The following is a 21,364-nucleotide window of genomic DNA, read 5'->3' on the forward strand; positions in this document are numbered from 1 at the left end:
AACCCCGTCTCTACTGAAAATGTAAAAAATTAGCCAGGCGTGGTGGCAGGCAACTGTAGTCCCAGTTACTCAGGAGGCTGAGGCAGGAGAATGACGTGAACCCAGGAAGTGGAGCTTGCAGTAAGCTGAGATCACACCACTGCACTCTAGCCTGGGTAGCAGAGCAAGAAGCCACATGTAGAAGAATGAAACTGGATCTGTATCTCCCAACTAATATGAAAATAAACACAAGATAGATGAAATACTTAAATCTAAGACCAGAAACTATAAAAATTCTCGGGACAATGTTGGAAAAACTCTTCTAGACATTAACCTAGACAAAGAATGTATGACTAAGATCCCAAAACCAAACGCAAAAAGAATGAAGTAAACAAAATGGTTCTAATTAAACTATAAATCTTCTGCATGGTAAAAGAAATAATCAGCAAACATCCCATAGGAGAAAATGTTTGCAGGCTACCTATCTAACAGTAAGAGTATCCAAAATCAACAAGGAACTCAAACAAATCAGTAAGAAAAAAGCAAATACTCCCATCAAAATGTGGGCAAAGTACATGAACAGACATTTCTCAAAAGAAGAAACATAAATGGCCAACAAATATTAATGTACAAAAAAATGTTCAACATACCTAATCATCAGAGAAACACAAATTAAAACCACAATGAGATACCACCTTACTCCTGCAAGAATGACCATTATTGAAAAGCCAACAAACAATAGGTATTGGCATGGATGGGGGAAAAGGCAACACTTATACTTTGCCAAAGGGAATGTAAATTAGTACAACCTCTATGGAAAGCAGTGTGGAGATTCCTTAAGGAAACAGAAGTAGAACTAACATTTGATCTAGCAATCACACTATTATCTGTCTACCCAAAGAAAAAAGAAGTTGTTATATAAAAACAACATTTGCACATGTATGTTTATAGCAGCATAATTCACACTTGCAAAGATCAGAGATCAACATATATGCTACCCATTGACTGATGCCTGGATAAAGAAAATATGGTGTGTATACACAATGGAATACTATTCAGCCATAAAAAGGAACAAAATAATGTCTTTCACAGCAACTTGGAGCTGAAGGCCATTATTCTAAGTGAAATAACACAGGAGTGAAAAACCAAAAACTGTATGTTGTCACTTACATGTGGGAGTTAAGCTATGAGTACAGAAGTCATGCAGAGTGATACAGTGAACTTGAGATGCAGAAGGTAAAGAGTGAGATGGGGCCAGTGATAAAAGAACCACACATTAGGTACTATATATACTACTCAAGTAACAGATGCACTAAAATCTCAGAATTCATCACTATATTATTCACCCATGTAACAAAAAAAACACTTGTAACCCCAAAAGCTATTGAAATAAAAAGTTTTAAATAACAGAAATTAAGCCACCAAGGAAATTTGTCAACTTAAAAAAAATGTAACAACATGTTTTAGGATCACATAGGACACAGACAGTTCAACATTTTCCTTTCCTCAACAGTTTTATTGCATCTTCAGAAAATTTCTGTAAAAGTGTTACAGAAGCATAAATCTAACAAAGTTGAAAGAAATTATAAGCACAGAATTAAAATATTTACATTTTCAAGCAAACTCAACTGTCCTTAATTTTCAATATTTTATAGTGAACAGAAAAACAGGCTGGGCATGGCTGCTCATGTCTGTAATCCCAGCACTTTGGGAGGTAGAGGCAGGCGGATCACTTGAGCCCAGGTGGTTTAGAACAGCCTGGGCAACATGGCTAAACACTGTCTCTACAAAAAAAAAAAAAAAAAAAAAAATTAACGAAGCATGTTTACACAGGCCTATAGTCCTAGCTTCTCCAGAGGCTGATTGTGGGAGGACCACTGAGCCCAGGGATGTAGAGGCTGCAGTGAGTTCTGACTGTGCCTCTGCACTCCAGCCTGGATAACAGTGAGACATTGCCTCAAAAAAAAAAAAAAAGAAAGAAAGAAAGAAAGAAAAGAAAAAAGGAGAAGAAGAAGGAGGAGGAGGAAAATAAATTAAAGTTTCTTCATTAGAAGATCATAAAATATTTGAGATTGGTTCATAGAAACTAATTTACAACCTTTAAGTTAGGTTATAAATCTCATACAATTAGTTGTGTTTCAGTGTAATTTTAAGTTGAAATATACCCAATAGCATATACCTGGCATAAGAAGATACGCAGCAAACAAAACAAAGAAGTTACAATATCAAATGCTTTTACCAAATTTATTCTCCCAAACACTCAATTTTGATGACATTATTTATAAATGTCAATGATCTCTGTCATCAGAGCTTTGTGTGGAAAAAAGTCAATAGGTAGGTAGGTGAGGCTCTTTTTCCTCATTATATTTTCCTTTTAAAAGACGTTCCAAATGAAAACAAATTTATTCAAAGCAGTTTCTATACATTGAAAATTAAAGAAACATTTCAGCAATTTCATAACAAAAGTTTAAAATAAAAAGACATCTTTCTAAATCTTCTAGCTAGAGGGTTTATCTTATATAAAGCTGAAATATTTTCATATGTAATAATGTCCCTCCTCCACAGAAGTAGTTGTACTTTGATAAATATAAACAAGGATGAACACTAGAACACACAGTATACAGTGGGATTTGACTTCTCATCAGTGGTCCTTCTCCAAGGCCACATCCCTGGGATTTAAGCATTCCAGAGAGGAGCCAAGGAGAATCTGGAGTTCATTTGTACATTCTAGTAAATCTAGTAGTTTGTTGCTTTCCAGATTGAAGGCTTCCAAGTCTTTGGAGGAAGAGAACAAGATACTTGCTGAAACCTGTCTGTAAAACTCTGCCTCTGCAATTGGGACAATTTTCAGATGTGGAAAACTCCAGCGAAATATGCAGGATGACATTTTCACTTTCTTAAGTACATCTGAAAGCAATAACCAGTTTTGTGGTCTGCAAAATAAAAAGAAAAGGTAGTCCCAATTTCTGGCAAAAATAAAATTTCCCCCAACCATTAATTATCATATTGAAAAAGCTACCTTATAGGCATAACAGGAGTCACTTACTTTCACTTCAACACCCCTGCCATTTCTCACCATGCCCACTCATAGACCAACATTCTTCTTTCAAGGTAAGGGTAAGTACCTACTTCTGATGAGGGTAACTCTGGATTCATCTGGTTATCAGACATTTGTAGAAGAACAAACTGAATTATATAAAGCAAGGGAAACACCTTAGTGAGATTTATTATAACAGTTCCTCCACTGCTCTCATTGCTGATGAAAAAATTAAACTCCTGTTGACTCAGCTCTCACCATAATTTGGGTAATGACTCTTAATATGTCTCACTAGGCTTACTGAGATAAGTGAGTCTGTACCCCAACCCAAAAGGATGACTATAAACACCTCTTTGATCTTCCCTCTCCCCCAAGTCCATTCCTTTCACACACTCTGCAACACAACTTTACTATTTCTATTTATAATAAACTTCTAATCAAAACCACAATATTATCTTCTCTTAGTTAGGATGCCTATTATCAAAAGACAAAAATATGTTGGTGAGAATGCAGAGAAAAGAGAATGTGTCTATGCTGTTGGTGAATTCCTCAAAAATGAAAAATAAAATTAACATGTGATTCCGCAATCTCATGGCTAGGTATATATCCCAAAGAAATCAAATCAGTATATCAGTAAGGTATCTGCACTCTCATGTCTACTGCAGCACTATTCACAATAGCCATGATATGGAATCAACCTAAGTGTCCATCAACAGACAAGTGGATTTTAAAATGGAATATATTTACATAATGGAGTGCTAGTCCACCACAAAATGACTTGAATCTTGATATTTGCAACACAGGTGGACTTGGAGGTCATTCTATTAAATGAAATAAACCAGGCACAGAAAGTTCTACCTATAGGTAGGAAATAAAAAATGTTAACCTCATAGAGGTATGGAGTAGAAGGGTGAGTACTAGAAGCTAGGCAGTGTAGGTGGGAGAGGGAATTAAGAGGAGATGATTAAATGGCTATTAAAATACAGTTAGAGAGAAGGAATAACATCCAGTATTTGATAGCACAGTAGGAAAATTATAGTTAACTATAATGTATAGTCTGTTTCTAGAAGAGAAGGTTTTAATATTTCTAATACAAAGACATAATACATGTTTGAAGTGATGGGTATCCCAAGTGCCCTCATTTGATGCTTACATATTGTATGCATGTATCAAAATATCACATGAACCCTCAAATGTAAGAATCCATGGCATACTAACAAAAAATAAAGTGAAATAAAACTGTCACTGTTTACAATGGAATACACATAACTCCAGAGCCTGAGGATACTATTGTTTACTAAGCACCAATGTTAAAATGTTAACAAAGTTCTCTTGATAAGATATTGGTCACCAGGGCACAGTGGCTCACAAATAGTGTAAGACTGTATCTTACTAAATATGACCATACACAAAGATCTCGAGTGACACTGATGATTTTCCTAATTCTACATGAGAAGGGAGATTAACGGCTTTGTACAGTACACATTATATTCCCAAGAAGCCCTTGTAATGATCTGTTGAAGGATTCCTAGGACTCCTTCCCAAAGAATTTAGTAAAAGAAACTTCTGTGCTTTGGGTTCTGGGGCCTTACTTACATTGGTGGTGTTCTGATGAGGATAATTTATACTATACTGTACTGTACTATACTATACTATACTATACTATACTATACTATACTATACTATACTATACTATACTATACCATACTATACCATACTATACTATACTATACCATACCATACTATACTATACTATACCATACTATACTATACTATACAACCAATTAATTAGCTGAGTATAATAAATCTTTAAAAAAAACCTATTTGCTACATCATGTAAAACTCTTGGGCATTTAGCACCCACTCACCCTCATCTACTTAAAAAGAGCTTTAAGTCCTGCTACTACCCACAAATCAGCTCAGCTAATTTTCAGTGACATAGCAGCCATGCTCACCCCTGCAAAGATGAAACTTGAATGTTTTAACAAGGTAAGAGGGGGTATCTGAAAATTTAAATTCAAACACATCACTGCAAGCCTCATTGTCATCATCCTGGTCCTCTGGTCCTGGGGGGTCTGCCAAAACATTGGATTCCCCTCCATTATCTGGTTCTAATGGAGAAAAGAAACAGACAAAGATGTTAGCAATAGCAGGATTTCAGCTGTCATCCAATGAAGAACTCTAAATAAAAATATAAAAATAGATTCTTTTCCAACAGAGTCTGTTTTATAGCATGCACAACCTATCCCCCGTCAACCACACCAAAGAAAAATGTCCTCTTCCTATTTTCCACTCAACTAAAAACAATAATATTGCTCACCACAGACAGAGCTGCCGTAGAACTCCCAAGAGCTATTCAGCTTACTGTCACTGCAACCCTGTAGGTCATTTAAGTAATCTGGAGAGAGAGGGGAAAAAAAAGATCAACTTTTTAAAAAATGTTAAAATTAGTAATTCCAGCAAAGTTGCAGGATACTAAATCAACACACACAAAAAAACCAGTTACATTCCATACTAGTGTATGGAAGTAATCCATTTCCATACTGGTGTATAGAAATGTAGTCTAGTAATGCCTGGGGCTTGCATGATTAGTTCTTCACTCACTGAGCTACATAGACTATTCTAAATAACCTCTTCTGTGGGAAGTTTGAGGTTTCCATTATCCAGAATCAAGATGTAAAAATGTGAGTCATTATTTGTTTAAAAATGCTTGGTAGGAAATCCAAATAATTTGGGGAAATCTTTTACAGCATTAGGGTAAAAATAGATCAAAGGAAATATAGAATCAACGGCTAATCACCAAAATAATTAGCTTCACTAGACTACTATATTCCACAATACAGAAAAGCCACATTGCTGCTGTTTTAAAGTCTCAAGCTTTTTAATTTGTACCTAGTAAAACTCAAATCTCAATAACCTGGTCTCCCTCTAATATTTGAATAAAGAACATATCTTGAACTTTGTTATTCCTGTTCCGTAAAGTGACCCACCTGTTAGAAACATTTCCATAACTTTGCTGTGGGTCATTTTCATAATGGTTCTGCCTGAGTAGGTGGCCAAAGTGGGGCCAGCGCCATAGGAAAGGAGGAGGCGGACAATTTCCAAACAATCATTTTCAACTGCACCATGGAGAGGCCTAGTAAGAGATGTGCGGTGGGATTAAACTCATGCACACTTGCTCATTTCTTGACTTTTCTTTAACAATAGGCAAAATTGGATACATGTGTACCATGTAAGCCTCGTAGACACAATATTCAACTCATGAGGAATGTAACTGCCATGTACAGATAGTGAAATTGAGACACAGTTACTGACCCATGATCAAATGACAAATTATTGTTATTATACACTTAATCCTTTTAACAGGACTCATGAAGGGACTATTTCAGCACTAACTCTCAAATGAAAAATCTATCTTAATCTGAGGCCTGAAAAACTGAAGACAGAATAAGTATTTAAAAAGTTTTGAAGGAAGTATGGACAGGATGTAAAAAGATAACTCAAAAAAAAGTTTACCATTATGAAACCTAATACAACAAACAACTGTTAAACAATTTAAAAAATGACTGTTTGTTTATATAAAGAACCTGGGTGCAAAGATAAATGGTGAGTTTAGACTCTCCTAAAAGCCTGCCCTGGCACCTTTCACAGATCTGTGATCAAACTTGTGGCTCAGAACCAGAGTTGTCAGGATCAGGATGAGATCTGAAAAAGTACAAAGTTCTCCCACCCATGTCTATTGGAAGGTGGAACACTGCCCACAGTGCCCTCCTGATGGAATGCTGTTTGGAATCTGTGAAAAAACAAAATACGTTTTAGGTTTTTTTTTCTTTTTTTTTTTAACTATTAGCAAACCCTAATACCCAACCCTCAAGCAGCCACCACATTTACACCACCAGAGGATTCCACAACTGACAAATCTTGGTTTCTCACCAATAAACTAAGGTCAAAGGCAGGATGAAGGCCAGATCTGGGGATGTGGATGGTGATAACAGGTCCTTCTGAACCAGCTGTGGGATATTTGTACTCTCAGGACTTAAAACTCAAATATACATTTTGAATATAGTCACAATAAAGAGTCCAGAGTCTTATAAGGCAGTATCACTAATTATTTGTCACTAATTATTGACATTTTCAGGGGCTTTTGCCCCTGGGAACATTAAAGAACAGTCCAACATTCCATGCTCTCACCACTTACCAACTGAGGGAAAGATATAAACATACATATACAGGAATAGGAAGAAATAAGGCTCCAAATGCTATCCAATGGACAAGAAAAGCCCTGAAAGTGAAGGCTGAAGGCAATGAGGAGTTTGAGCTTGGTCTCACTGGGAGACCATACATGAGGTATGAAGAAAGATTGTGAAGCTTCACAAGACCTCATGAAGCAGAAAACTTCTTCAGTTGGGCGATGAAGAAAAGTGCCAATTCAAGGAAAAAGTGATCAAAATAATAATATCACTACCCTATCCCAACCAAATGCTATTTGTATTCTTACTTTTGAGTACAAGAATGACTTGGTCACTGACTTTTGGAAAGAAAAAAAATTAAAAAGAAAATTAGAGAAAAAATGGTTGTTTTTTTTGAAAACAACACTACTATAAAACCACAACAAGAAAACTAACGTGACCCTAACACTGAAATAAACCATATCTGGTGCAGGAAAACACACACACACACACACACACACACACACACACACACATCACAGACATACACATATACATATATACACCATAACTTAAAAATCAGAATCAATCCTACAAGGGTAACCACAAGAGTTTTGTTTGTTTGTTTATTTTGAGACTGTGTCTCAACTCTGTCTGCCAGGCTGGAGTGCAATGGCACAATCATGGTTCACTGCAGCCTCAACCTCACTGGGCTAGGGTGATCCTCTCACATGTCTCCTGAGTAGCTGAGTAGCTGAGATTACAGGCATGTGCCACCATTCCCAGTTGTTTTTTTTTTTTTTTTTTTTTTTTTGTAGAAACAGGGTTTCACCATGTCATCCAAGCTGGTCTCAAACTCCTAGGCTCAAGTGATCCTGCTGCTTTGGCCTCTCAAGCTGCTGGGATTACAGGCATGAGCCACCGCATCCAGCCCCATGTGTAGTTCTTTTTTCAGTATTATCATTCCAACAATGTAGAGATTATAGTAATAACATGGTAGAGTAGCAGTGTTGAAGAAGAGTAACTAAAATGAGGCTGAACATTTACGAAGGATATATCCTAACTCTTGTTAAATTTGAAACACTAATTTTTTTATTTGTGGAAAAAATATATGTAATGTACATTTATCATCTTAACCATTTTTAAGTGTTCAGTTCATGGTCATTAACTCTTTCACATTATTGTGCAACCATCACCATCATTCATCTAAAGGACTTTCAACAGGCTCTGTACCCATTAAACAGTAACCCCATTAACCTTTCCTACAAACCCAGGCACCCACCATTCTACTGTCAGTGTCTATGATTTTGACTTCTCTTAGCATGTCACGAGTGGAATAATAAAGTATTTGTCATTTTACAACATGCATATTTCACTTAGCATAAATGAACGTCCTCAAGGTTCATCCATGTTACAGCATATGTCAGAAATTCCTTCCTTTTAAAAAGAAATAATATTCGGGCTGGGTATGGTGGCTCACTCCCATAATCCCAGCACTTTGGGAAGCCGAGGTGGGCAGATCATGAGGTCAGGGGTTCGAGACCAGCCGGACCAACATGGTGAAACCTCGTCTGTCCTAAAAATACAAAAATTAGCTAGGCATGGTGGTGTGTGCCTGTAGTCCCACTACTTGGGAGGCTGAGGCAGGAGAATCACTTGAACCCAGGAGGCAGAAGATGCAGTGAGCTGAGATCGTGCCACTGTACTCTGGCCTGGACAGCTCTGTGCAATTGAACAATGAGAACACATGGGCACAGGAAGGGGAACATCACACTCTGGGGACTGCTGTGGAGTGGGGGGACGGGGGAGGGATAGCATTGGGAGATATACCTAATGCTAGATGATGAGTTAGTGGGTGCAGCGCACCAGCATGGCACATGTATACGTATGTAACTAACCTGCACAATGTGCACATGTACCCTAAAACTTAAAGTATAATAATAAAAAATAAAAAAAAGAAAAACAATTTAAGAAAATTTTAAGTAAAGTTTATAATGTTTTTGTTATTGAATTTTATGTAATTAATTTGTTTTGACTTTGACTAGTAGTTTATAAATTTATTAGTTTTTTTTATTAGAGTTTTGAAAGTTTTTATTTGGCTTTTTGAACAAGTTATTAGAAAGTTGTGTTTAAGACAACCATTTGTTGGGCTTAGCACAGTGGGTCATGCCTGTAATGCCAGCACTTTGGGAGGCTGAGGCAGGTGGATCACTTGTGGCCAGGAATTCAAGACCAGTGTGGGGAATATGCAGAGATCCCCATCTCTACAAAAATACAAAAAACAGTCAGGAATGGTGGCACACACCTGTAGTCCCCACTATTCAGGAGACAGAGGTGAGAGGATCACTTGAGCCCAGGAGGCTGGAGGCTGCAATGAGCTGAGATCATGCCACTCCACTCCAGCCTGGGACACAGAGTGAGATCCTACCTCAAAAGAAAAAAGATAATATTTGCTGTATTTATATTAATGGCAAATAAAACAAAAATTTCTTTGCCTGCTTCTTTCCTGCCAGACCACTAATTTCTAACAAGACACCAATAACACACACTGGGGAAAGGACACCCAGTTTACTAAATGGGGCTGGGGAAACTGGATGTCCATATGAAGAATGAAACTAGATCACAAAACCTCAACAGATAACAATATCAACTCAAATAACAGACTTAAATTTAAGACCCAAAATATAAATGTACTAGAAAAAAGCAGGAAATGCTTCAGGACATTGGTCTAGGCCAAGATTTTATGTCTAAGACTTCAAAAGCATGGATAACACAAACAAAAATAGGGAAATTGAACTCTGCAAAACAAACAATCAACAGGAGTGAAGAGACAATCTATAAAATGGCACAATATATTTGCAAACTGTTCATCCAATAAGGGACTAATATATAAGGAACTAAGCTCAACAGCAAAAAAAAAATGACATTAAAAGGTAGGCAAAGGATCTGAATAGGCAGTTCTCAAATGAAGACATATAAATGGCCATCATATATATGTAAAAATGTTCAACATCACTAATCATCACAGAAATACAATTCAAAACCACTGTGAGTTACCATATTACACTAGTCAGAATGGATATTACTAAACAAGACAAAAAAATAAATTCTGCCAAGGATTTGGAGAAAAGGTTGATTTACAAACTCTTGGGATGTAAATTAGTACAGCCAATATGGAAAACAATATGGAGGTCTCTTTAAAAACTAAAATTAGAACCACAATATAATCCAGCAATCTGACTAGACAGTCTCTATCAAAGAAAAATAAAAAAGTAAATCCCGATAGGTAAACATGGAATTGGCCTAAATGCCGACAGTGAATGAAAGGACAAAGAAAATGTGGTATACATACACAACAGAATATTTTAAGCCATATAAATGAATGAAATGCTGTCACTTGCAACAACCTGGATGGAATTGAAGGTCATTATGTGAAGTAAAATAAGTCAAGCATAGCAAAAGAAATATCACCTATTCTCACTCATATGTAGGAAAAGTTGATGTCATGAAGGTAGAGTGTAAGATGATAGTCTCCAGAAGCTTGGAAGTGGGTGTAGGTGTGGGCAAGATAAACAGGGGTTGGTTAATTTACGGTACAAATATACAGGCATATCAAAAGAATATGATCTAATGTTTAATACCAGAAAAGGGAGACTACAATTAACAAGAGTATGGTATATTTCAAAATATCTAGAAGATAAGGTATGAAATATTCCCAAAACAAAAATAGTAAATGTTTGAAGTAACGCATATCCTAAATAGCCTGACTGGATCATTACAAATTGTATGGATGTATCAAAATATCACATATAGGCAGGGAACGGTGGCTTGTGCTTGTAATCCCAGCACTTTGAGAGGCTGAGACAGGCAGATCACTTGAAGTCATGAGTTCGAGAGCAGCCTGGGCAACATGGCGAAATCGTGTATCTACAAAAAAACAAAAATTAGCTGGGTGTGGTGGTACATGCCTGTGGTCCCAGCTACTCAGGAATCTGAAGTAGAAGGATCACTTGAGCCCAGGAGGCAGAGGTTGTAATAAGCTGAGATCGCACCACTGCACTCTAGCCTAGGTGACAGAGCAAGACCTTGCCTAAAACAAAAAAAAAGAAAAAAAAACAGAAAAGAAAGAAATCATCACATATGTGATATACATACACGATAGAATATATACCCCAGAAATATGTACAATTATTATGTGTCAAAAAGAGTTCTTTAACTAAAAACTTGTGATCTATTTAAATTACATGTTGCAAATTCACTTAATATCTGAAAAAGTTACTATTTTTCTAACCATCCAAGTTGCAGTCTAGAAACTTTAATTATCCAAATACCAGAAATCTAAAGCAACGATGACAGCCATCCTTACATAAACAATCTCAAAATCACCTGTGCCATCAAAGGCTTTGGGGCCTAAAGATGTATAGATGTGGAATTTGTTGAAGCTGTTGATTGGTACAGGCGTCACATCCATCAGTTCTATAAAAACAACCAAAACTGAAACTGTTCCTAGGTTATTACCTATCCAAGCCATTTAACACTTCTGGGAGTTAGTTTCCTCATATGAAAACAGTGATAATAGCTGGCAAAGATGATGACAGAGTAAAATGAGTTAGTTCAGATCATGTGAGCTTAGAAAGAGCACACAGCCCAGTGCTCAGTTGACATAAGTCAACACTGTCATCATGCATCTTGGGAGGAGTATGGGTGTAGGGGGCAGGAGTGAGAGGGTGATGAAGGAGCAGTGACTTGGGGAGAAACCCTAAGTCTGAATTCTTCCTCCAGTACTCAGCCCCAGGGCCACCTTAACCCTCTCTCAGAAAGAGACCACTCAGGTCTGCTCCACACCCTCACATTTGAACACCTGTGCCCAACCTGCATTGCCACTTCCTGCCTGCTCTCCACACAGGGCCACCATAGCACAAGCAACACCATATAGAGCTAATAACATCTCTTCCTCTTGCTAATCAGAATCCAAAAGGGCCCATTAAATTTCCCCAAGTCACCAAGCCCTGAATTTTTTCAAGTTTTATAGCAGAAATAAGTAAACCAGACTGGAGGAAGCTGGAGCAACCTGCCTGACTGCTTGCCCGTTTGCACACTGTGACTGCAAAAGCCACCAAATAGCAGGGAGACTGGGGCTAACACAGACATGCTAGTCCCCTGATGTGAAGGGGCTAAGCTCTGCTCTCCAAGTCCCCTGATGTGAAGGGGCTGAGCTCTGCTCTTCAAGTACCTCCCACTATCCCATCCCAGCTAGCAAGCCCTGCTTTCCAGCTGGAAGCAGCAGCTGCTCTAGGAGTGCTCACCAGGACACTCACCTCATAGCCAAGCCATGCTGCCTGCTGCAGGAGAGTCTCACCAGCATGCCTATCGACAATAATTCTCCTTGCTCTCAGCTGCACTGGGCGAGATTGGTTGGTTTCCTGAGGGGAACATGAGTGTGGCAGCTTCATGGACTGGGAAGCTGGTAGCAACTCTTGCAAGCAGTTGAAGGGCTTCATCTCCTGCTTGGATGAAGTCAGATCATAGTTGGAACTGGGTTCAAGTTGCTTTCTGAATCTTGGGACAGTTGACTAAGACAAAACGAATTAGTATACACAGTTAAGATTAAGACTACATCCTTTCCACATCCACTGCTTCCCCTCCTCCTTCCTGTAAGACAAACCTGCATGGGGAAGGCAGTTTCCTTTCCTTCCTGGGAGGTGGAATATCAAAGGAAAAGTGTTACAGACTGGGGTATGAACTTAAATTTTAATAGTTTCCAATTTTATCACCATCAAGGAAGACTTCCCCTCTAAGACAGGGAAGTTAGGAGTCCAGTAAAAGAAAGGCTTTACATCCTTGAGAAAAGCAGGTAGGTGGGGAATGTTGGGGTGAGGGGAAATAGCCTCTATATAAGCCCAAGGAGAAAACAAGTGCCAAGAGGTATCTTGCCATCAGCATTCTCAACGTAGCACTTCCCTGTTAGCAGGAACCCCTGCCTCAGGTCCTGAGATATCAAGTGCTTGGTTTTGCATTGTCTCTTCCCAGATGGCTTCTCACTGTTATTGGTGTATTTCTGCAGCAGGGAGGCAGCAGGGCACTCCTCTTCCTTGTCTGTGCACAGCATGTCTGTCTTAATGCTCTCATTAACTTTCTGCTGCTTATCAGGCAGCCTCAACAATGGTATGCAGCTTGAGTGAGTCGGCTTTTGGCTGCTTGCATTGTTGGATAAAACCTTATTCTTCGGTGGAGGGCCTGAGAACAGAGACAAGGCTAAATATAGATGGTGCAGCATGGTGGCAGAATAGCTAACAGGAAAGAGACATGGGGAAAAGGGCAAAAAAAAGGAGTCATTACATAGTTGTAGCCCATGCAGAAAGAAAATCCCACTGTTTTTTTTTATTATTATTATACTTTAAGTTTTAGGGTACATGTGCACAACGTGAGGATTGTTACATATGTATACATGTGCCATGTTGGTGTGCTGCACCCATTAACTCGTCATTTACATTATGTATATCTCCTAATGCTATCCCTCCCCACTCCCCCCACGCCACAACAGTCCCCGGTGTGTGATGTTCCCCTTCCTGTGTCCATGTGTTCTCATTGTTCAATTCCCACCTATGAGTGGGAACATGCGGTGTTTGGTTTTTTGTCCTTGTGATAGTTTGCTGAGAATGATGGTTTCCAGCTTCATCCATGCCCCTACAAAGGACATGAACTCATCATTTTTTATGGCTGCATAGTATTCCATGGTGTATATGTGCCACATTTTCTTAATCCAGTCTATCATTGTTGGGCATTTGGGTTGGTTCCAAGTCTTTGCTATTGTGAATAGTGCTGCAATAAGCATATGTGTGCATGTGTCTTTATAGCAGCATGTTTTATACTCCTTTGGGTATATATACAGTAATGGGATGGCTCGGTCAAATGGTATTTGTAGTTCTAGATCCCTGAGAAATCGCCACACTGACTTCCACAATTGTTGAACTAGTTTACAGTCCCAACAACAGTGTAAAAGTGTACCTATTTCTCCACATCCTCTCCAGCACCTGTTGTTTCCTGACTTTTTAATGATTGCCATTCTAACTGGTGTGAGATGGTATCTCATTGTGGTTTTGATTTGCATTTCTCTGATGGCCAGTGATGATTAGCATTTTTTCATGTGTCTTTTGGCTTCATAAACATCTTCTTTTGAGAACTGTCTGTTAACATCCTTCGCCCACTTGTTGATGGGGTTGTTTGCTTTTTTCTTGTAAATTTGTTGGAGTTCTTTGTAGATTGTGGATATTAACCCTTTGTTAGATGAGTAGATTGCAAAAATTTTCTCCCATTCTGTAGGTTGCCTGTTGACTCTGATGATAGTTTTTTTTTGCTGTGGAGAAGCTCTTTAATTTAATTAGATCCCATTTGTCAGTTTTGGCTTTTGTTGCCATTGTTTCTGGTGTTTTAGGCATGAAGTCCTTGCCCATGCCTATGTCCTGAATGGTATTGCCTAGGTTTTCTTCTAGGGTTTTTATGATTTTAGGTCTAACATTTAAGTCTTTATTCCATCTTGAATTAATTTTTGTATAAGGTGTAAGGAAGCGGTCCAGTTTCAGCTTTCTACATATGGCTGGCCAGTTTTCCCAGCACCGTTTATTAAATAGGGAATCCTTTCCCCATTGCTTGTTTTTGTCATGTTTTTCAAAGATCAGATGGTTGTAGATGTGTGGCATTATTTCTGAGGTCTCTGTTCTGTTCCATTGGTCTATATCTCCATTTTGGTACCTGTACCATGCTGTTTTGGTTACTGTAGCCTTGTAGTATAGTTTGAAGTCAGGTAGTGTGATGCCTCCAGCTTTGTTCTTTTGGCTTAGGATTGACTTGGCAATGTGGGTTCTTTTTTGGTTCCATATGAACTTTAAAGTAGTTTTTTCCAATTCTGTGAAGAAAGTCATTGGTAGCTTGATGGGGATGGCATTGAAACTCTAAACTGCCTTAGGCAATATGGCCATTTTAATGATATTGATTCTTCCTATCCAAGAGCATGGAATGTTCTTCCACTTGTTTGTATCCTCTTTTATTTCATTGAGCAGTGGTTTGTAGTTCTCCTTGAAGAGATCCTTCACATCCCTTGTAAGTTGGATTCCTAGGTATTTTATTCTCTTTGAAGCAATTGTGAATGGGAGTTCACTCATGATTTGGCTGTCTGTTTTTCTGTTATTGGTGTATAAGAATGCTTATGATTTCTGCACATTGATTTTGTATTCTGAGACTTTGCTGAAGTTGCTTATCAGCTTAAGGAGATTGTGGGCTGAGACAATGGGGTTTTCTAGATATACAATCATGTCATCTGTAAACAGGGACAATTTGACTTCCTCTTTTCCTAATTGAATACCCTTTATTTCCTTCTCCTGGCTGATTGCCCTGGACAGAACTTCCAACAATATGTTGAATAGGAGTTGTGAGAGAGGGCATCCCTGTCTTGTACCAGTTTTCAAAGCGGATGCTTCCAGTTTTTGCCCATTCAGTATGATATTGGTTGTGGGTTTGTCACAGATAGCTCTTATTATTTAGAGATATGTCCCATCAATACCTAATTTATTGAGAGTTTTTAGCATGAAGGGCTGTTGATTTTGTCAAAGGCCTTTTCTGCATCTATTGAAATAATCATGTGGTCTTTTTCGTTGCTTTTTTTTATATGATGGATTGTGTTTATTGATTTGTGTATGTTGAACCAGGCTTGCATCCCAGGATGAAGCCCACTTTATCATGGTGGATAAGCTTTTTGATGTGTTGCTGGATTCAGTTTGCCAGTATTTTATTGAGGATTTTTGCATCGATGTTCATATGTTCATCAGGGATATAGGTCTAAAATTCTCTTTTTTTTGTTGTGTCTCTGACTGGCTTTGGTATCAGGATGGTGCTGGCCTCCTAAAATGAGTTAGGGAGGATTCCCTCTTTTTCTATTAATTGAAATAGTTTCAGAAGTAATGGTACCAGCTCCTCCTTGTACCTCTGGTAGAATTTGGCTGTGAATCCATCTGGTCCTGGATTTTTTTGGTTGGTAAGCTATTAATTATTGCCTCAATTTCAGAGCCTGTTATTGGTCTATTCAGGGATTCAACTTCTTCCTGGTTTAGTCTTGGGAGGGTGCATGTGTCCAGGAATTTATCCATTTCTTCTAGATTTTCTAGTTTATTTGCATAGAGGTGTTTATAGTATTCTCTGATGGTAGTTTGTATTTCTGTGGGATTGGTGGTGAAATCTCCTTTATCATTTTTTATTCCATCTATTAGATTCTTCTCTCTTTTCTTCTTTATTAGTCTTCCTAGTGGTCTATCAATTTTGTTGATCTTTTCAAAAAACCAGCTCCTGGATTCATTGATTTTTTTGAAGGTTTTTTTGTGTCTCTATCTCCTTCACTTCTGCTCTGATCTTAGTTATTTCTTACCTTCTGCTAGCTTTTGAATGTGTTTGCTCTTGCTTCTCTAGTTCTTTTAACTGTGACATAAGGGTGTCAATTTTAGATCTTTCTTGCTTTGTCTTGTGGGCATTTAGTGCTATAAATTTCCCTCTACCCACTGATTTAAATGTGTCCCAGAGATTTTGGTATGTTGTATCTTTGTTCTCATTGGTTTCAAAGAACATCTTTATTTCTGCCTTCATTTCATTATGTACCCAGTAGTCATTCAGGAGCAGGTTGTTCAGTTTCCGTGTAGTTGAGCAGTTTTTATTGAGTTTCTTAATCCTGAGTTCTAGTTCTAGTTTAATTGCACTGTGGTCTGAGAGATAGTTTGTTATGATTTCTGTTATTTTACATTTGCTGAGGAGTGCTTTACTTTCAACTATGTGGTCAATTTTGGAATAAGTGTGGTGTGGTGCTCAGAAGAATGTATATTCTGTCAATTTGTGGGGAAGAGTTCTGCAGATGTCTATTAGGTCCGCTAGGTGCAGAGCTGCGTTCAGTTCCTGGATATCCTTGGTAACTTTCTGTCTCATTGATCTCATTTTCTAATGTTGACAGTGGGGTGTTAAAGTCTCCCATTATTATTGTGTAGGGGTCTAAGTCTCTTTGTAGGTCTCTAAGGACTTGCTTTATGAATCTGGGTGCTCCTGTATTGGGTGCATATATATTTAGGACAGTTAGCTCTTCTTGTTGAATTGATCCATTTAGCATTATGTAATGGCCTTCTTTGTCTCTTTAGATCTTTGTTGGTTTAAAGTCTGTTTTGTCAGAGACTAAGATTGCAACCCTTGCCTTTTTTTCTTTTCCATTTGCTTGGTACATCTTCCTCCATACCTTTATTTTGAGCCCATGTGTGTCACTGCACATGAGATGGGTTTCCTGAATACAGCACAGTGATGGGTCTTGACTCTTTATCCAATTTGCCAGTCTGTGTCTTTTAATTGGAGCATTTAGCCCATTTAAATTTAAGGTTAATATTGTTATGTGTGAATTTGATCCTGTCGTTGTGATGTTAGCTGGTTATTTTGCTTGTTAGTTGATGCAGTTTCTTCCTAGCCTTGATGGTCTTCACAATTTGTCATGTTTTTATAGTGGCTGATACCAGTTGTTCCTTTCCATGTTTAGTGCTTGCTTCAGGAGCTCTTTTAGGGCAGGTCTGGTGGTGACAAAATCTCTCAGCATTTGCTTATATGTAAAGGATGTTATTTCTCCTTCCTTATGAAGCTTAGTTTGGCTGGATATGAAATTCTGGGTTGAAAATTCTTTTCTTTAAGAATGTTGAAAATTGGCCCCCACTCTCTTCTGGCTTGTAGAGTTTCTGCTGAAAGATCAGCTGTTAGTCTGATGGGTTTCCCTTTGTGGGTAACCCAACCTTTCTCTCTGGCTGCCCTTAACATATTTTCCTTCATTTCAACTTTGGTGAATCTGACAATTATGTGTCTTCGAGTTGCTCTTCTCAAGGAGTATCTTTGTGGCATTCTCTATATTTCCTGAATTTGAATGTTGGCCTGCCTTGCTAGATTGGGGAAGTTCTCCTGGATAATATCATGCAGAGTGTTTTCCAACTTGGTTCCATTCTCCCCATCACTTTCAGGTACACCAATCAAATGTAGATTTGGTCTTTTCACATAGTCCCATATTTCTTGGAGGCTTTGTTCATTTCTTTTTATTCTTTTTTCTCTAAACTTCTCTTCTCACTTCATTTCATTCATTTGATCTTCCATCACTGATACCCTTTCTTCCAGTTGATCGAGTCAGCTACTGAGGCTTGTGCATTCATCACGTAGTTCTCGTGCCATAGTTTTCATCTCCAACAGGTTCTTTAAGGACTTCTCTGCATTGGTTGATCTAGTTAGCCATTTGTCTAATCTTTTTTGAAGGTTTTTAACTTCTTTATCATGGGTTCGAACTTCCTCCTTTAGCTCGGCAAAGTTTGATCATCTGAAGTCTTCTTCTCTCAACTCATCAGAATCATTCTCCGTCCAGCTTTGTTCCATTGCTGGTAAGGAGCTGCCTTCCTTTGGAGGGGAGAGGTGCTCTGATCTTTAGAATTTTCAGTTTTTCTGCTCTGTTTTTTCCCCATCTTTGTGGTTTTATCTACCTTTGGTCTTGGTGACAGTGACATACAGATGGAGTTTTTGTGTGGATGTCCTTTCTGTTTGTTAGTTTTCCTTCTAACAGTCAGGACCCTCAGCTATAGGTCTGTTGGAGTTTGCCAGAGGCCCATTCCAGACCCTGTTTGCCTGGGTATCAGCAGTGGAGGCTGCAGAGCAGTGAATACTGGTGAATAGCAAATGTTGCTGTCTGATCATTCCTCTGGAAGTTTTGTTTCAGAGGGGTACCCACCCATGTGAGGTGTCAGTCTGTCTCTACTAGGGGGTGCCTCCCAGTTAGGCTACTCAGGGGTCAGGGACCCACTTGAGGAGGCAGTCTGTCCATTCACAGATCTCAAGCTGCATGCTAGGAGAAACACTACTGTCTTCCAAACTGTCAGACAGGGACATTTAAGTCTGCAGAGGTTTCTGCTGCCTTTTGTTTGGCTATGCCCTGCCCCTGGAGGTGGAGTCTACAGAGGCAGGCAGGCCTCTTTGAGGTACAGTGGGCTCCACCCAGTTTGAGCTTCCCGCTGCTTTGTTTACCTATCAAGCCTTGGCAATGGCGGGCACCCATCCCCTAGCCTCGCTGCTGCCTTGCAGTTTGATCTCAGACTGCTGTGCTAGCAATGAGCGAGGTTCCGTTGGCATAGGACCCTCTGAGCCAGGTGTGGGATATAACCTCTTGGTGTCCCATTTGCTAAGACCATTGGAAAAGTGCAGTATTCAGGTGGGAATGGCCCGATTTTCCAGGTGCCATCTGTCACCCCTTTCCTTCGCTAGAAAAGGGAATTCCCTGACCCCTTGTGCTTCCTGGGTGAGGCAATGCCTTGCCCTACTTTGGCTCATGCTCGGTGTGCTGCACCCACTGTCCTGCACCCACTGTCCAACAGTCCCCAGTGAGATGAACCCGGTACCTCAGTTGGAAATGCAGAAATCACCCATCTTCTGTGTCGCTCATGCTGGGAGCTGTAGACTGGAGCTGTTCCTATTCAGCCATCTTGGACAATATTTCGAAAATCCCACTGTTAACTCTTACTTTGGAGCAACTTCAATTTTAAAATTAAGTTTTCAGACATAATTATCCCTCATTTAAATGGAAAATAGGTTAACACATCAAACTGCAAGTAACAATTTTCTGCAAAGTGCTCAGACAAGAGAACAGAGCACTCTCGTACCAACTCTCTCTGTACATTCCACAAGGAAGTGGGTAGGGTAGTCAAGAAGTGGCCTCTGCATACCTTCTTCGTTGTCACTGGGTTTAAGAAATTCTTCCAACCAGCTTCTGTTGCCTTTGACCTCTGCCCTTTTCTTGCTGAGTTTCTCTTTCATGATATCACAATCCCAGGCAGTGACCTCAGGCTGGACTGTCTGGGTCACTTCCTTCCTGCCTTGCAGACTAGGTTTGTTCTCTGCTGCCAACACCTGCTGCTCCTACTGTTCTCTAAGGTGCATCAAATGGTGTTTCTTAGGATGTAGCCCTGTAAATGTAATATACACCTTCAGGTTGGTCAGCTCACTATAATGTGGGTCTTCTAAGTAGACAGAGGAATTTGTTACTTCCCTCTAGGGCCAGGTATCTAATGAATAAATAACTAAAAATTAATCCAAATGCTGCCTTGAAAGAACAAATGACTTTATGCATCACCAGTAGTGTGAGGGGAGGAGAAGGGAAAGGAGTGTGGTTACTCTCTCTGATTTTGGGAGAGAACCTAATTATTTTTTACCCTCTCTGGGCTTGAGTGCCTGCATCTGGCTGTAAAGCAAGTAAGTTATGAGTGGAGTCTGTGGGGCTCCATGGTGGAAATCTCATGGAAGAGGAGTGGGAATAAAAACTCTTCACTGCTATGTGTCATGGCTTCCTTCCACTGATTCTGTTTATGGGGCTACATGCCACACATCAACAGGCCATGTCTGTCCACTGTGACTGTATGCACAGGCCCACTGAGAAGGCAGCTAAAGGTGACAAAACTCACCTATATAAACCTGTTTTTGCTTGTTTTTTAGGAAAGAGTCCTCTGGCAACTTCTCTGCAGTAGTCTCTGTCTGGTTGCTGTCACTTGAGACTTTGTGTTTCCTTTCCAGTTGGAGGATGGGGCTGTGCATCACATCCATAGCTACCTGGTCGGCAGCTGGCTCACCTACAGGCTGCCTTTCCATTAAATACTTCTCTACAGGAAGATCTTCATCCTTTAGGGCTTTAAAGGAATTGTGCTGTTTGTTTCCAGGACTATGCTTGCCTAGCAGGAGAGAAAACCAGAATACATAAGTGAATTCAAAAATCACCAAGAGAAGGCAGGATTCAGGGAACAGCTGAGACCATGCCAAGGTAATCTGCTATTGACAGATGCTTCTTTAGAAACTGGAGTTCTCACATTGTTAATATCAAGTTCTCATAAATAGACTTGTCCAAAGGAAGGATACACTGAAGATGAGCAGCAAGCAAAGCAGAAAGTTAGACATACACCACACTCATAATTCTCTCCTTCTATCTCTGTATATTAGGGGAATGAGACAAATAAGAAAGAAGATGAGACATCAATGCTATCTTTTTAAAAAAAAATATTACAGTCCTTTCTTTCAGCAGCATGATCCAATCAAGCCAGGACCGGCATAAATATCTCTACAGTAATACGTGCTGAGGTCATTATTT

At 39.2% G+C, this 21,364-nt stretch overlaps 1 pseudogene across 2 annotated transcripts in view; it reads right to left on the minus strand.

Moving 5' to 3' along the window:
* Positions 1-1,478: 1,478 nt before the first annotated feature.
* BCORP1 (BCL6 corepressor pseudogene 1) overlaps positions 1,479-21,364 on the minus strand; it is a 47,723-nt pseudogene continuing 27,837 nt past the window's right edge. The window contains exons 3-11 of one of the 2 annotated variants that reach the window (NR_033732.1): positions 20,688-20,951; positions 19,953-20,192; positions 12,504-13,422; positions 11,154-11,275; positions 6,007-6,152; positions 5,337-5,414; positions 4,972-5,127; positions 3,105-3,165; positions 1,479-2,912 (exon numbers count right to left, since the gene is read on the minus strand). The product of NR_033732.1 is annotated as a BCL6 corepressor pseudogene 1, transcript variant 1 (transcript). The remainder of the gene's footprint in view (positions 2,913-3,104; positions 3,166-4,971; positions 5,128-5,336; positions 5,415-6,006; positions 6,153-11,153; positions 11,276-12,503; positions 13,423-19,952; positions 20,193-20,687; positions 20,952-21,364) is intronic. The other variant, NR_002923.2, reaches the window with a different exon arrangement.

Source organism: Homo sapiens, chromosome Y, assembly GCF_000001405.40.
Source record: "Homo sapiens chromosome Y, GRCh38.p14 Primary Assembly".
NCBI lineage: Eukaryota > Metazoa > Chordata > Mammalia > Primates > Hominidae > Homo > Homo sapiens.